The sequence below is a fragment of the Homo sapiens genome, chromosome 1 (genome assembly GCF_000001405.40).
Source record: "Homo sapiens chromosome 1, GRCh38.p14 Primary Assembly".
In the NCBI taxonomy this organism is placed as follows: domain Eukaryota; kingdom Metazoa; phylum Chordata; class Mammalia; order Primates; family Hominidae; genus Homo; species Homo sapiens.
The window spans coordinates 116,215,155-116,228,855 of record NC_000001.11 but is presented as its reverse complement, the minus strand read 5'-3'; positions in this window follow the sequence as shown (position 1 = coordinate 116,228,855).

Below are 13,701 nucleotides of genomic sequence, written 5' to 3'. Positions count from 1 at the left end.
TACTGTGCTTATGCCACAGTGTCTCACCGCTATGAAGTGCTAGTTAACTGCATACTCACTGACTAAAGCTCATATATATCCCCTATGAGATCTGCCTGGGCAAACTGTGAAAGGAATGAAATCATCTAACTTCCTCATCTCCAAAACCTCCCACACCCTTAGATACCCAGGGCCTCTGTGCTGCTCTGATCTCTCTGTGGGGCCCATTTTGCTGCTCCTCTGACTCCACCCACAAAATGAACTTGTGCCATGCCCATTGGTCTAGAGTTTTCTCTAATGCTAAGGGACAGTTATAATTAATGCATTAATTAAGTCAGTTCAGGAGTTTGACAAATTTATCATGATGAAAATCAGATGGAGAAATGTGGGCTGGACAGTCAGTGTATCCATGGGTAGATTCATAGGTGGATGAAGGCCCTTATCCAGTAATAAAACCCTGGCCTTCTGAAGGGAGGATCCTTGCCCTTGGCCCAATCCTATTCAATATTTTAATCAATGATTTGAATAAAGTCAAAGCAGCAAGTTTATCTGCTTTGCAAACAATCCAACTCCGAGCAATGTAGAAAACATATTTGTTAACATACTCAGTTAAAATCATGAAATGATGGACTGTAATGAATACCTCAAAATTAATGTAACTTCTTTCACTTAGTTTCAAAAAACAAGCCACAAAAGTAAAAGATGGGTTAACAGCACTCATGAGAGAGAAGAATTAATAACTTTAAGTTTATTTAAGCTCAATAAGAGTCAACAGTATAAAAAGAGGGTTTGGTTTTTTTGGTTTTTGTTTTGTTTTGTTTTGTTTTTGAGACAGAGTTTCACTCTGTCGCTCATGTTGGAGTGCAGTGGCTCAATCTCAGCTCACTGCAACTTCTGACTCCCGGGTTCAAGAGATTCTCCTGCCTCCACCTCCCAAGTAGCTGGGATTACAGGGGTGTGCCACCACACCCGGCTACTTTTTGTATTTTTTAGTAGAGATGGGGTTTCACCATGTTGGTCAGGCTGGTCTCAAACTCCTGACCTCAAATATCCACCCTCCTCGGCCTCCCAAAGTGCTGGGATTACAGGCATGAGCCACTTCAGCCAGCCTACAAAGAATTTTTTTTAAAAAGACATAAACATAGATTGCATTTCTAGAATGTATAGACTCCAGATGAAGGGTGGTGATAGCTCTGGAATGCTCTGCCCTGGTAGAACAGAACTGCAATTGAGAGTGTGGTTTGTGTTTCATGGTTGAAAGGAGATGTTGACTAGTTGGCAGGTATTGAGAGAGACGTGTCAGGTTGATGAAGAGTTTAATAGCATCATCACCTGAGCAAAGTTGATTTTTAATCCAGAGAAGAAAAGACTTAGGCAAATATGTTATCTATCTATCTGAAGAATCATCTACATAGAAGGGGTGTGGGTAGGGGTGGGGTGGCAGGTTGAAATCCTGTGTATTTTCAGAGAGGGAAACAAAGACCAAAAAAAAAAAAAAATCTGAAAGGACCAGATTTGAGTCTATTTCCAGGAATCAGAGGTGTCCAGCAATAGAGTGGTCTGCTTTGTGAAGGGTGATGATCCCATCCTTGGAAATATTCAAGCAAAACTATTATCCCAATGATCTCCAGGATGGGCTAGACTGGATTCACTGGCTAGCTGGGTTCCTCTTCCACCTTCATCACTGTGTGTGTCTCCCCTTAGAAGCCATGTGGTTGGTCAAAAAGGATAACTTTTCCAGACCAAGGATGGCCATTCTTTGTTAAAGAGTCTCAAGTGGCATTGTTCCTAGCTGGAATCTCTAAATAAGTTCTCCAAGTTCATTTGAATGAGTCTTTTAAATAATGATGCATTACTTGTACAGAGCATTTTTTTTAGGATTATTTTGGTCTCAGGTGACAAATATCCAACTCAAATAAGCCTAAGGAAAAAATCAATATGCCAGAATATTGATTGGTCTCAGACACAATCATCCATCTCCATCTCTGAATTTCTTCTTCCTCCATTCAAAACCCATGGCTGCAAAGAGCTTGAGGATCACTTCATCCCTGCTAATAGCCCAAGAGAAAGAGAGAGGGTATAAAGCTCTTCCTCGAGAAGAGCTCTCAGTGATCCAGTCAATCACGTGTTCACCCTTTGGACTAATTACTGTGGCCAAGGAATTGGGGACTATAATTGGAGAGATTTAGGTCACTTTCTTGATATATTGACCCAGGAGAAGGAACTGTGATTAGCAGCCAACCAGAATCATACGGATAAATAATGGAAGTAAGTTACCAGGCAGACATAACACTGGCCATCTATTATTGTACTTAAGTTAATGGAGCACTTTCACACACATGATCTCACTTGATTCTCACTACAGCCTTGTGAGGAATGTGGAGCACATATTCCTTTTCTCCACTTCACTTAACAGAGGTAGTAGATTGCACATACAAAACATTCTAAATTTCTTAAAGAATATTGCCATTAGAAAGATAGACTTATTTGAATGGCCTTTATTGTCCTTTGTTACAAATCCTTGCTCTGATGCACTGCCAGCTCTAGATACTTCAAGTCAACTCCTGGTAGAATAGGAAATTCCCTTCTGGGTTTTCTGATGACAGGTCCCTGGGGAGTATCCTAACATCACACAAAAAGTGTAGCAGTAGCAAAGCAGTCACTGGACTCCCTGAGGGACTCATCCTCTAAAAATAGGTCTTTCTTCACTTCCCCCAAATCTTCCCTGGTTCCTTCTCTATCAGGAAAATCAGCCGCCATTAGGAAAATGAGACAGGTGTTATTTCAAGCAGAACTGCAACTGACAATACTTCATGTATTCATTCATGCATTCATTTTATTTTTTTCTCTTCTTTATCCATTCATCTATTTGTTTTTTTTTTTAATTTTTTATTTTTTGAAATGGAGTCTCACTCTGTCACCCAGGCTGGAGTGCAATGGTGCAATCTCAGCTCACTACAATCTCCACCTTCCGGGTTCAAGCGATTCTCCTGCCTCATCCTCCCAAGTAGCTGGGATTACAGGCATGCATCACCCTGCCCAGCTAATTTTTGTATTTTTAGTAGATACAGTGTTTTGCCATGTTGGTCAGGCTGGTCTTGAACCCCTGACTTCAGGTGATCCACCCACCTCAGTCTCTCAAAGTGCTAGGATTACAGGCGTGAGCCACCACACCTGGCCATGCATCTATTTGTTTGCACACAAAAAATTGAGTTGAGCACTTCTGCGCTGATGAGTGCTTAGGCAAAGCAGTTTTAATAAAAAGATCCTAAAAAAGAATAGTTTAAGGAAAATTGTAGTTTATTTCTCACGTAAGTGTTTGAGGTAGCAGGGAGCTTTGCTGGGGACCCAGGTGCCTCCTATCTTGTGACTCTGCCATCCCCAGGGTCTGGTTCTTATCTGCTTCATCTGCTTTCCAGACCATGGGAAGGGGAAAGGGCAAAGGGGACAAGCTACTTCATTGTTAAAAATTTGAAGTGGAGGTTCACCTCACTTCTGCTCTCATCCAATTGACAAACACCTCACAGGGCCATGCCTAGCTGCAGAGGAATCTGAGAAATGCAGCTCTAGCTGGGCAGCCATATGCTTGGCCAAAACTCACTGGAAGGAAGAAGGGGGCCTGGGTACTTGGGACAATAGCCGTGTCTGCCACAATCAGCTCCATATAACACAGTGTGTGCTCTCAAGTTGCTTGTAAACAAATGGGCAAGAAATGCCTTGTTCCATAGCCGCAGCACAAGGCAATGTGGAGGCAGGGTCAGGGGAGTGGGGCAAAGAGCTTAAAATGTTCAGAGAGGGAGGGATGACTTGACCTTGAGATGACCAGAGCAGGCTCCTGAAGCAGGTGGCATGTGAACTGCTTGGCCTGGCTTAAAAGATAGATATGATTCTGAAATGGAAATGGAGTGGCAACAGCAAGCTAAGCAAAGAGCAGTGACAACCACAAACCAAAGGGCAAGCGTTCAGGTGTGCATGAGGGGTTCTTCAGCTACCCATTCCTGACAGCACTACACACGGTGCATCTGCTCACTTCTGCACCCATCTGCACCAGCATCTGCCAGTCACCAAGCCTCAGGGCCCTCCTTGGTCTTGGAAGACATTCGAGGCATCCTCCAGCCCTTTGGAGTGAAGAGGCCACATGGCCTCGGAAGACAGGCCAGGCTGTGAGTCAGAGCCAGGAACCTGGGGTCTAATAACCTATTAGCAACAATCACTTACAGAGCCTTGCAGTTTCCAGAGTGTGCTGACCTATAGAATTTGATTTGATTTGATCTCATCTCATTTCAACTTTGAGGAACTGACTAAAGTAAGACATTAGATATGAAAATGGTTTGAAAAACCAGTGCTATAGAGTAGAAAACATCATTATAGCAACACTAACTCAATTGATTCAGAATTTGTGGACATTTGCACAAGGGTCTAGGCTGAAACTCTCTTTATGCTCAACATAACTGAACGGATTTGCTAAGCAAATTAACAGCATGGCCAAGATTGCTGGGAGACATTTATAACCGATGGAGGACAACTGTTTTTGGTAACTATTGTAGCACTACTGTAGGAGTATTGGACTTCAATTAATTTTGAACAATGCTCTTTTCATTAAAGTAGGTCTGGCAGGATTTCCTCAAGGCAATAAAACTTGGTTAGCTATTTGTTTGAGCTTCTCATATTCTAAAGAATAGGAAAATTGCTAAGCAAATTAATTTGGGGCCTCACTGAGAGAATTTGAGTGTTCAAGAAAAGACTGGACAACCATTTGACCAGGACGTTTAAGAGGAGATTCTGGCACCAGTTTTGCAGCTTGGACTAACTCTTCCTTTTCCTTTTCCCTAAAACCTACATAAAAGTTCCATCAACCAGATGAATGCAGAGTGATTCTGGGTAAGCAGGGGTGTGTCTGCTTGATCTCCTACCTTTACTCCTACTCCCCACAAAGCACCTTTGACTGGGCTCTGAAAAACTCAGTCCAAAACTTAGTGACATTTAAAACCTCTTTGATTCTATTGCTTATAAATAAATAGTAGCTAACTTATTCAGAGCTTATTCTGGTATATGTTAAGTGTGCTATTTTACAAATGAAGAAACTGAGGCTTAGAGAGTTTAAGAAACTGGTCCACGGTGACACTAACAGTAAGTGGTGGAACAAGACTTAGCTCGTGTCACAAACACAAAACACAGGCTTTTAGAATCATCTTCCTTACAGCTCATGCCTTAGTGTCTACATTTTCCATCTCTTGGCTGGTCATGGTGGCTCATGCCTATAATCCCAGCTGAGCCAGACAGATCTCCTGAGCCCAGGATTTCAAGACCAGTGTCTCAAAAAAAAAAAAAAAAATTATCTGTTTAGTAGGTCATGATTTAGTGGTGGTCTTACTTTCTGCATTTTTAATTATGTGTATCCTAGCAAAACTCAGAGGATGGGAACTCTTCTTCCAACTATATCCGTTGAAGCCTTAATAAGAGAGCTTGGTGATGTGGTCTGTGTCCCCAGGGGCCTGGAGCTTGATGAAGAAGTTGACAACAGCAGAGAAACTCAGTATATTAAAACCTAAATGTACAAATATGTACTATGTTTTAAACTGGATGCACCATGGTTGGGCATGGGGTCTAGAAATCAGACATTTGGGATGAATGTAGAGCTCAGCTGAACAATTTGTAGAATTTAACTTTGGTTATTTTCTCTGAAGGTCATTCATTTATCAGACATTCATTGAGCCCCATGCTATGCTAGACACTGAGCTGAATATTGAGGATATGGAAAAAAGAAGAGATCCCTGACCCTCAAGGAAAATGACCTGTTAAAAATATAATGATATTCAAAAATAATCATTATAACAGCCTGGGCAATGTGCAGTCGGAGCAGATGTGGCCACCAGTACTAGGACTCACGCACTGAGGGTGAGTCCAGTATTGCACTGCAGTAACAAGGGAGGGAGGGATCTTCCTTAAAGAGTAAGGATCAAAAAAGACTTCATCAATAATACTCTCATGAAAACTCACGCCACTCCAAGGGACACTGCTGTCATCTCACAGACAGAAAGTTGGGCCAAGGAGAAGGGCCCTGGTAAGAGATGCCCCAGTGTCCTTCTGCAGCCTCAGGCTTCCTGGGCAGCTGGCTCTTGCTGTCTGCATTTGGAGAATGGAACATGATGGATTGGAGGATTTGGAGGTTGTTCTTTCACCTCAGATACCTCTCACTTTCACAGAGGGAAGCCTCTGTGACCAAACATTCTCCTCTGTGGTCAAACTCCTTCTGGCTGAAACATCTAGTATTCTGTCTACCTGGGGAGTCCTCACTCACCAGGGCACTGTTTTCTGCTTCCAGGGTTCTTTGTTATTCTGATGGGAGAGAAGCTGTGGGCTTCCAGAGGGTAGGATGCAGGGAGAGGGTGACGGGCCTGAGGGGAGTTGAGTCTCTCACTGATGAAGAGCTTTGCATTCACCAGTTTTGGTGCTGGTGGTTACCAGATGCACTGCTGCATCCTCTCCTTTCAAGGCCCAAATGGTCACCGCTTTCCTCCTCTGGCCTTCTCTTAAATGCTTTGAATTTCAAAAAACAAGGTCTCACTCATGTAGCTTCAGGTAAGGGGCTTATTCCATGGGTGTGCTTGGCTATAAAAACAACTGAACTCTCAGGGGAACCCAGGGAACCTTGGCTTCACAGGTGCCAGAAGAGGGTACAAGAGCCCGAACCATAGGGACCTGGGACAGCAGTAGTCTATTTTTTCTCTCCATTATCTTGGCCCCAGAGGCTCTTCCATTTCGCAACATTGTGGAGACTCTCTCCTCTTCCCAGCTCCACCTCCCCTCCTCTCTTTTTTCCCCTCCTCCCCTCCCCTCCTCCTTCCCTCCTCACTTCCTCCCTTCCAGCCCTCCTCCCCTCTTCCCTTTAAATCGTCCTCCCCTTCAACCCTCCTCCCTGGCATTGCTTCTGGGAATGCCTGTAGCTTTATGCTGCCCTACAGCTTCTGCCCTATCAGGACTCCTGCTATCTTCATGGTCCTGCTTGCCCAACTACTCTGGATTTTGTTTTGGTTTTTTTCTCCTTTTCTCTTCAGTTTTTGCTTCCAAACCCACCAGCCTTTTTGGTCCAGGCAGCCATAGCCAGGTGACCAGAGTCACACGGTGTCACAGTTCCTTCTGAGGAAGGACTGTTCCTTACTGGAGGGCTGTGGACTGGTTTCATAGCCCCACCTCCCACCTGCTTGAGATGGGAGCTATAGGCATTGCTGGCGTTAGGGGACTTCTTCTGCCCAGTGAGGGCCTCTACTTTCAGGACAGAGACTTTGAGAGGGGAGGGCCCTAAAAATCACCTAGCCCAAAGTCCCCATAAGGCTTCGGTTCCTTGTACCACACCTGGCCAAGGCATCATCCAGTCTTTCTCCGTAGCTCCTGTAACAAGGAGGCTCCTCAGGCAGTCCAGTTGATGTGCGGTTCCCTCTGACTGTTAGTGAAATTCTCCTTCTGTCGAGCTTGAATCTGCCTATAGCTTTACTCATTGGTTCTATTCCATCCATCCAGGCCTTAATGGGCAAGTTTAATGCCCTTTGAATATTACGTCTTGTTAACAGAGGGTGGTTTTCTTGCATTTTCCCTTCAAGAACGAAATACCCCCATTTTCTACAAGCATTCCTTATGTGATTTATTTTTTACTGATTTTAGCACCCTAAGCATTCTCCCTGGAATGTGGTTCTATTTGCCTGTGTTTCTTCTAAGATGTAGTCCCAGAAGAGAAAGTAATTCTCCAGGTATGGGCTGACACATTCTCAGAAAGTGTGGCTAGGCCTGTTCCTGTCCGGATTTCTTTCTTTTCTTTTCTTTTTTTTTCCCTCACTCTGTTGCCCAGGCTGGAGTTCAGTGGCACCATCTAGGCTCTCTGCAACCTCTGCCTCCTGGGTCCAAACGATTCTCCTGCCTCAGACTCCCAAGTAGCTGGGATTACAGGTGTGCACCACCACACCCAGCTAATTTTTGTAATTTTAGTAGAGACGGGGTTTCGCCATGTTGGCCAGGCAGATCTCAAACTCCTGACCTCAAGTGATCTGCCTGCCTTGGCCTTCCAAAATGCTGGAATTAGAAGTGTGAGCCACCGTACCACACCTCTTATCCAGATTTCTGATTAGAGTTGTTCCTCTTGCACTTTATTCCAAGCATTAGCTCAGTGGTTTCCAGTGACACTGCTGATTAGCACATTGTTATCAGCAATACTTTGCTTTTGCAGTGTGCATATTATCAAAACCGTATCATACCCAGCTATTCAGGAGGCTGAGGCGAGAGGATCACTTGAGCCCAGGAGTTGAAGTTCAGCCTGTGCAAAACAGCAAGACCCATCTACCAAAAAATAATTAATTAAAATTTTTTTTTTAAAAGAAAAAAAAACTACCCATATCACCCAAAGACCACCAGGGATAAACCTGTAGCCTGACACACATACAGCAAAGGAGGATACTCCAGAGGACCTGCAGAGGCTGCTGAGCGGGGATCAGCTCTATACTGTTTCCTTTCCAAAGCTGGGAGAGGGAAAGTGGGGATAATTCAGTGCTATCTCGAGGCCAGGGCAGTTTAGCAATTGAGTAATCTCAGTAATAGAAGGATTTAACAAAGGGAGCCTGGGGGTGTTGTGGAAAGAAAAGTAGTAGTCACTCATTTTACAGCCACTGCATGACCTCAGGTAATACAAGGTCCCCTGTTAACTTTGGGGCTGATTTTTATCTATATCTGTCTCTCCAGCCTGATTAACTGGATTCCTTTTTACTTTTTCAGTCCAAAGTGACTTTCTTTTCACTCTTTCAGATCCTGACAATTGTTTACTCTTCCTGTGTCCTTTTTAGTATCTTTGTGGATTCAAGAATCTTTAGGAGGCAGATTTTTAAAAATGCATATCTGATCATCTCCTTCCCTAAGTAACATCCTTTAACAGCCTCTCAGAGCCTAGAGGGAAGTCTGAACTATCTTATGTAGCACACAAGGTTTTCCTCAGACTGGGACTGTTTCCCCAGCCTTGTATTCTATGACGCCTTCCCTTAATCTGTGAGATCCAGCCATAGAGAACCACCAGCAGCTCCCTGGACTGGCTGCCCTCCGTCCTAGCACACCTTTGTACAGATATTTTCATGGTTGGGGATGCTAAAAATAGTAATGACAAGAATAGTGATACTATTTTTTGATCACATACCATAGGTCAGGCACTTGCTAATGAATTTGCGTGCATCTTCATAACTATTCTATAAAATAGGTGCTATCATGATCTCCATTTTACAGATGAAGAAACTGGGACTTAAAAGAGGTTAAGAGGCGTACCCAAGGTCACACAGCTGATAAGTGACAGAGCTGGGATATGAATCCAGGATTCCAATGAAATGAATTATACTGTATATCCTCCTGTGTATATGACACGTTCCAATCATGTTTTAAAACTCAACTGTCACATCCCTTTAACCTTGAACTCTTCCCTGACTACTCTTTTCTAAGCGGTTGGTTAATTCTCCTCCACTGTATCTTATACATAATTGTGTTATATTACCCATCTCCCTTCTGTCCTGGGCATATGAGTAGCACCTACCCCCTTATCACAGCCAGGCACGGACACTGCTCGCCAACCTAGGCTGGAGCTGATTGAACAGGGAATGAATATCTAACCTCAAAGGGCTAGTCCTCAGGCTTGGAATGCAGCTGTGACGTCATGTTATATATCTACATCGAGAGCTCCTGGAAGGCTGTGTTGGCCATGGAAGCGCTCCACTCAGATGTCCTTCAAAAGAAGCTGCTGCAGGAAATGTAGTTGGCTGACAGCCTGCAGCTGCCACCTTTTGGATACACCATGGTATTCACATTTCTCCCAGTCTACCCTCAGCCAATGCACCCTAAGGAGTACGAAGTCTGGCCCATTTTTGTCCCATATGGGGCTCCTCTAGCAGACAGCCTTTGTTCTGGAGGCTCTCTGTTGACCCAGCTGAGATGTTCTCCACAGTGCACTGGGCCCATGCTCTTCCTTCCCTCCCTCCTTCCACAGCTGCCAGTCTTGCATCACAGTCTGAAGACTCTCCCACCTGCTCCTGCTTCCCTCCTTTATCTTTCATAAGCATTCCCTCCAATGTACTTATTGCACATCACATCCTGTTTTGGCATCTGCTTCTTGATGTAATACCAGGTATCATCTCTAGATACCTGGCACTTACCACCCAGACTGACACATAGCAAGTGCCCAGTAAATGTCTGCTGAATGAATGAAGGGAAAGGAGCAGTCTCCTTTCCCCAAGTGTTGCTATTTTTCCCCCAATCTTTTTTGTTGTTGTTTTGTTTTGTTTTTTTTTTTTTTTTTGAGATGGAGTCTCGCTGTGTCACGCCCAGGCTGGAGTGCAGTGGCGCAACCTCTGCCTCCAGGGTTCAAGCAATTCTCCTGCTTCAGTCTCCCAAGTAGTTGGGATTACAGGTGCCGCCACCATGCCCAGCTAATTTTTTGTATTTTTAGTAGAGACAGCGTTTTGCCATATTGGCCAGGCTGATCTTGAACTCCCGACCTCAGGCAATCTGCCTGCCTCAGCCTCCCAAAGTGCTGGGATTACAGGTGTGAGCCACTGCACCCGGCCACCCCAATCCATTTCTATATCACTTCCAGATTAATCTTCCTGGAACATGCCTTTGTGCATATGACTTCCTTTCTTTGCCACAGGCAAATAACAGGTTTTGCTCTTATAATCAAGAGAAAATACAAAGCCTTTTTAAAAAATGTGGTAATGCATCATAGAGATATTAATGATGTGGGATGCCATCTCTCTAATTGCATTATGGGTTTGGAAAAAAAGAAGAAATTAAAAGTGACAGGACCATTGAGTAATGGAAATGGATTTGAAAGTGTTTTTAGAAAATCGGAACTTTGCCAGAGTGAAAATGCCTCTGTGCCTTCCATTCCCAACATGATTCCTTTTAGAGTTCTATGTGGTGGGTTTGGGTATCTGCTTGTTTCCCTCATTATTCTACCCCGAAGAGCTCAGAATCCTCATTCATCCACCGAGGCACCAGTTTCCCCTATCACACTCTCTACTTCAGGATTCAATGTCTTCCATAGTCGCCCACTTCCCATAGGTGACATAGGGCTGCCACAGTGTTCAGCTCCAAGGAGGTATCCTTCCCATCACAGTTTCTGAGACTGGCAGCCCGTTGGCTGTGTAGTATACAACCCTGTGTAGATTCTCCTTCCCTAGGGCAGTCCTCAGGAGAACTTCCTTCTACCCCAGACTCTGCAGCTTGAAACCAACCCAAAACAATTCCTATGTGATGAGATCCGTTCTGCCTTCCCTGGCAAATTTCCTTGAGAAAGACTATGCATGTAGTGCTTTGGGCATGACAGTCCAGGAAAGGGGTAAAATAAGCATCATTTTGAAGCCTTAAACACAGTCTTTAGTTCTGCAAATACCATAATGACAGACTTGCATTCTCAGTACTAGGAAATTTTGTGGCACTGGAGCTTAGAAACGTCCTGGGCATGTAAGCATGCTTTATTCTTATTTGTGTCTGGGATCCAAGAAAAAAAATGAGGAGTTTGAATGCTGGTTCACACCGCACTCTCATGGAGGCAGAGAGAAGCAGCTCTACAACTGCATTTATGTGATGAGAAGGTGAATAAAATACATCTTTGTGGGTCCTCTGGTGCATTCTGGGCTATGGGAACTATGTGAGTGCAGCATCAGGATCACATTTTAATAAATCGGTGGCCTAGAGCAGAGGCAGAGGCAAGGCCTGGACAGATGGAATGGAGCCTCCTTGTACATAAAAGACTGGGTCAGAAATGCTCATGTTTGCTGCTGAAAATTAGAAACATAATAGGTTTAAATGATGTCAAGGGGTTACCTTGCTAGAACCACAAAATAGCATACATTAAGCTTCCTTGCACATACCCCATTCCCACCCCCTCCCCCCACCCCATTCTCTCTGGGTAGCTGTGAAGGGCCCTATCTAGCCATTCCTGAAGCCTAAGGCACGCTTATTCTCATGAAGTCAATTCCAATATTTGTTTCATATCCATATGCACCTTTATTTCACAGAATAAAAATATGAAGAATTCAAGTAAACATAATTTTTTAAGACCTCATATTTTTGGTAGGAAACAAGAAAGGTCTAGTTAAAGAATCACACTCAGTTTGTAAAGCCAGATTTTTCTTTTTTTTTTTTTTTGTTTCCACTCAATTTTTTAATTACTATACTTCAAAATAATGTCATTAATAAAACTAAATCACAAGCTGGGAAAGTATTTGAAACAACAATATTCTTTTTAAAATTTTTTTGAATTTTGCTAATTCTTCATTCTGGTCTGAAATAATATTCTTTTTTTTTTTTTTCTTTCAGAAGACAAGGCCTTGGCTATGTTGCCCAAGCTGGTCTCCAACTCCTGGGCTTAAACGATCCTCCCGCCTTGGCCTCCCAGTGTGCTGGGATTACAGGCATGAGCCACTGTGCCCAACCCTGAAACAATATATATATATATTTTAATTATTATTATACTTTAAGTTTTAGGGTACATGGGCACAATGTGCCGGTTAGTTACATATGTATACATGTGCCATGCTGGTGTGCTGCACCCATTAACTCGTCATTTAGCATTAGGTATATCTCCTAATGCTATCCCTCCCCCCTCCCCCTACCCCACAACAGTCCCCAGAGTGTAATGTTCCCCCTCCTGTGTCCATGTGTTCTCATTGTTCAATTCCCATCTATGAGTGAGGACATGTGGTGTTTGGTTTTTTGTTCTTGCGATAGTTTACTGAGAATGATGATTTCCAATTTCATCCATGTCCCTACAAAGGACATGAACTCATCATTTTTTATGGCTGCATAGTATTCCATGGTGTATATGTGCCACATTTTCTTAATCCAGTCTATCACTGTTGAACATTTGGATTGGTTCCAAGTCTTTGCTATTGTGAATAGTGCCGCAATAAACATACGTGTGCATGTGTCTTTATAGCAGCATGATTTATAGTCCTTTGGGTATATACCCAGTAACGGGATGGCTGGGTCAAATGGTATTTCTAGTTCTAGATCCCTGAGGAATCGCCACACTGACTTCCACAATGGTTGAACTATTTTACAGTCCTACCAACAGTGTAAAAGTGTTCCTATTTCTCCACATCCTCTCCAGCACCTGTTGTTTCCTGACTTTTTAACGATTGCCATTCTAACTGGTGGTATCTCATTGTGGTTTTGATTTGCATTTCTCTGATGGCCAGTGATGATGAGCATTTTTTCACGTGTCTGTTGGCTGCATAAATGTCTTCTTTTGAGAAGTGTCTGTTCATATCCTTTGCCCACTTTTTGATGGGGTTGTTTGTTTTTTTCTTGTAAATTTGTTTGAGTTCATTGCAGATTCTGGATATTAGCCCTTTGTCAGATGAGTAGGTTGCGAAAATTTTCTCCCATTTTGTAGGTTGCCTCTTCACTCTGATGGTAGTTTCCTTTGCTGTGCAGAAGCTCTTTAGTTTAATTAGATCCCATTTGTCAATTTTGGCTTTTGTTGCCATTGCTTTTGGTGTTTTAGACATGAAGTCCTTGCCCATGCCTATGTCCTGAATGGTAATGCCTAGGTTTTCTTCTAGGGTTTTTATGGTTTTAGGTCTAACGTTTAAGTCTTTAATCCATCTTGAATTAATTTTTGTATAAGGTGTAAGGAAGGGATCCAGTTTCAGCTTTGTACCTATGGCTAGCCAGTTTTCCCAGCACCATTTA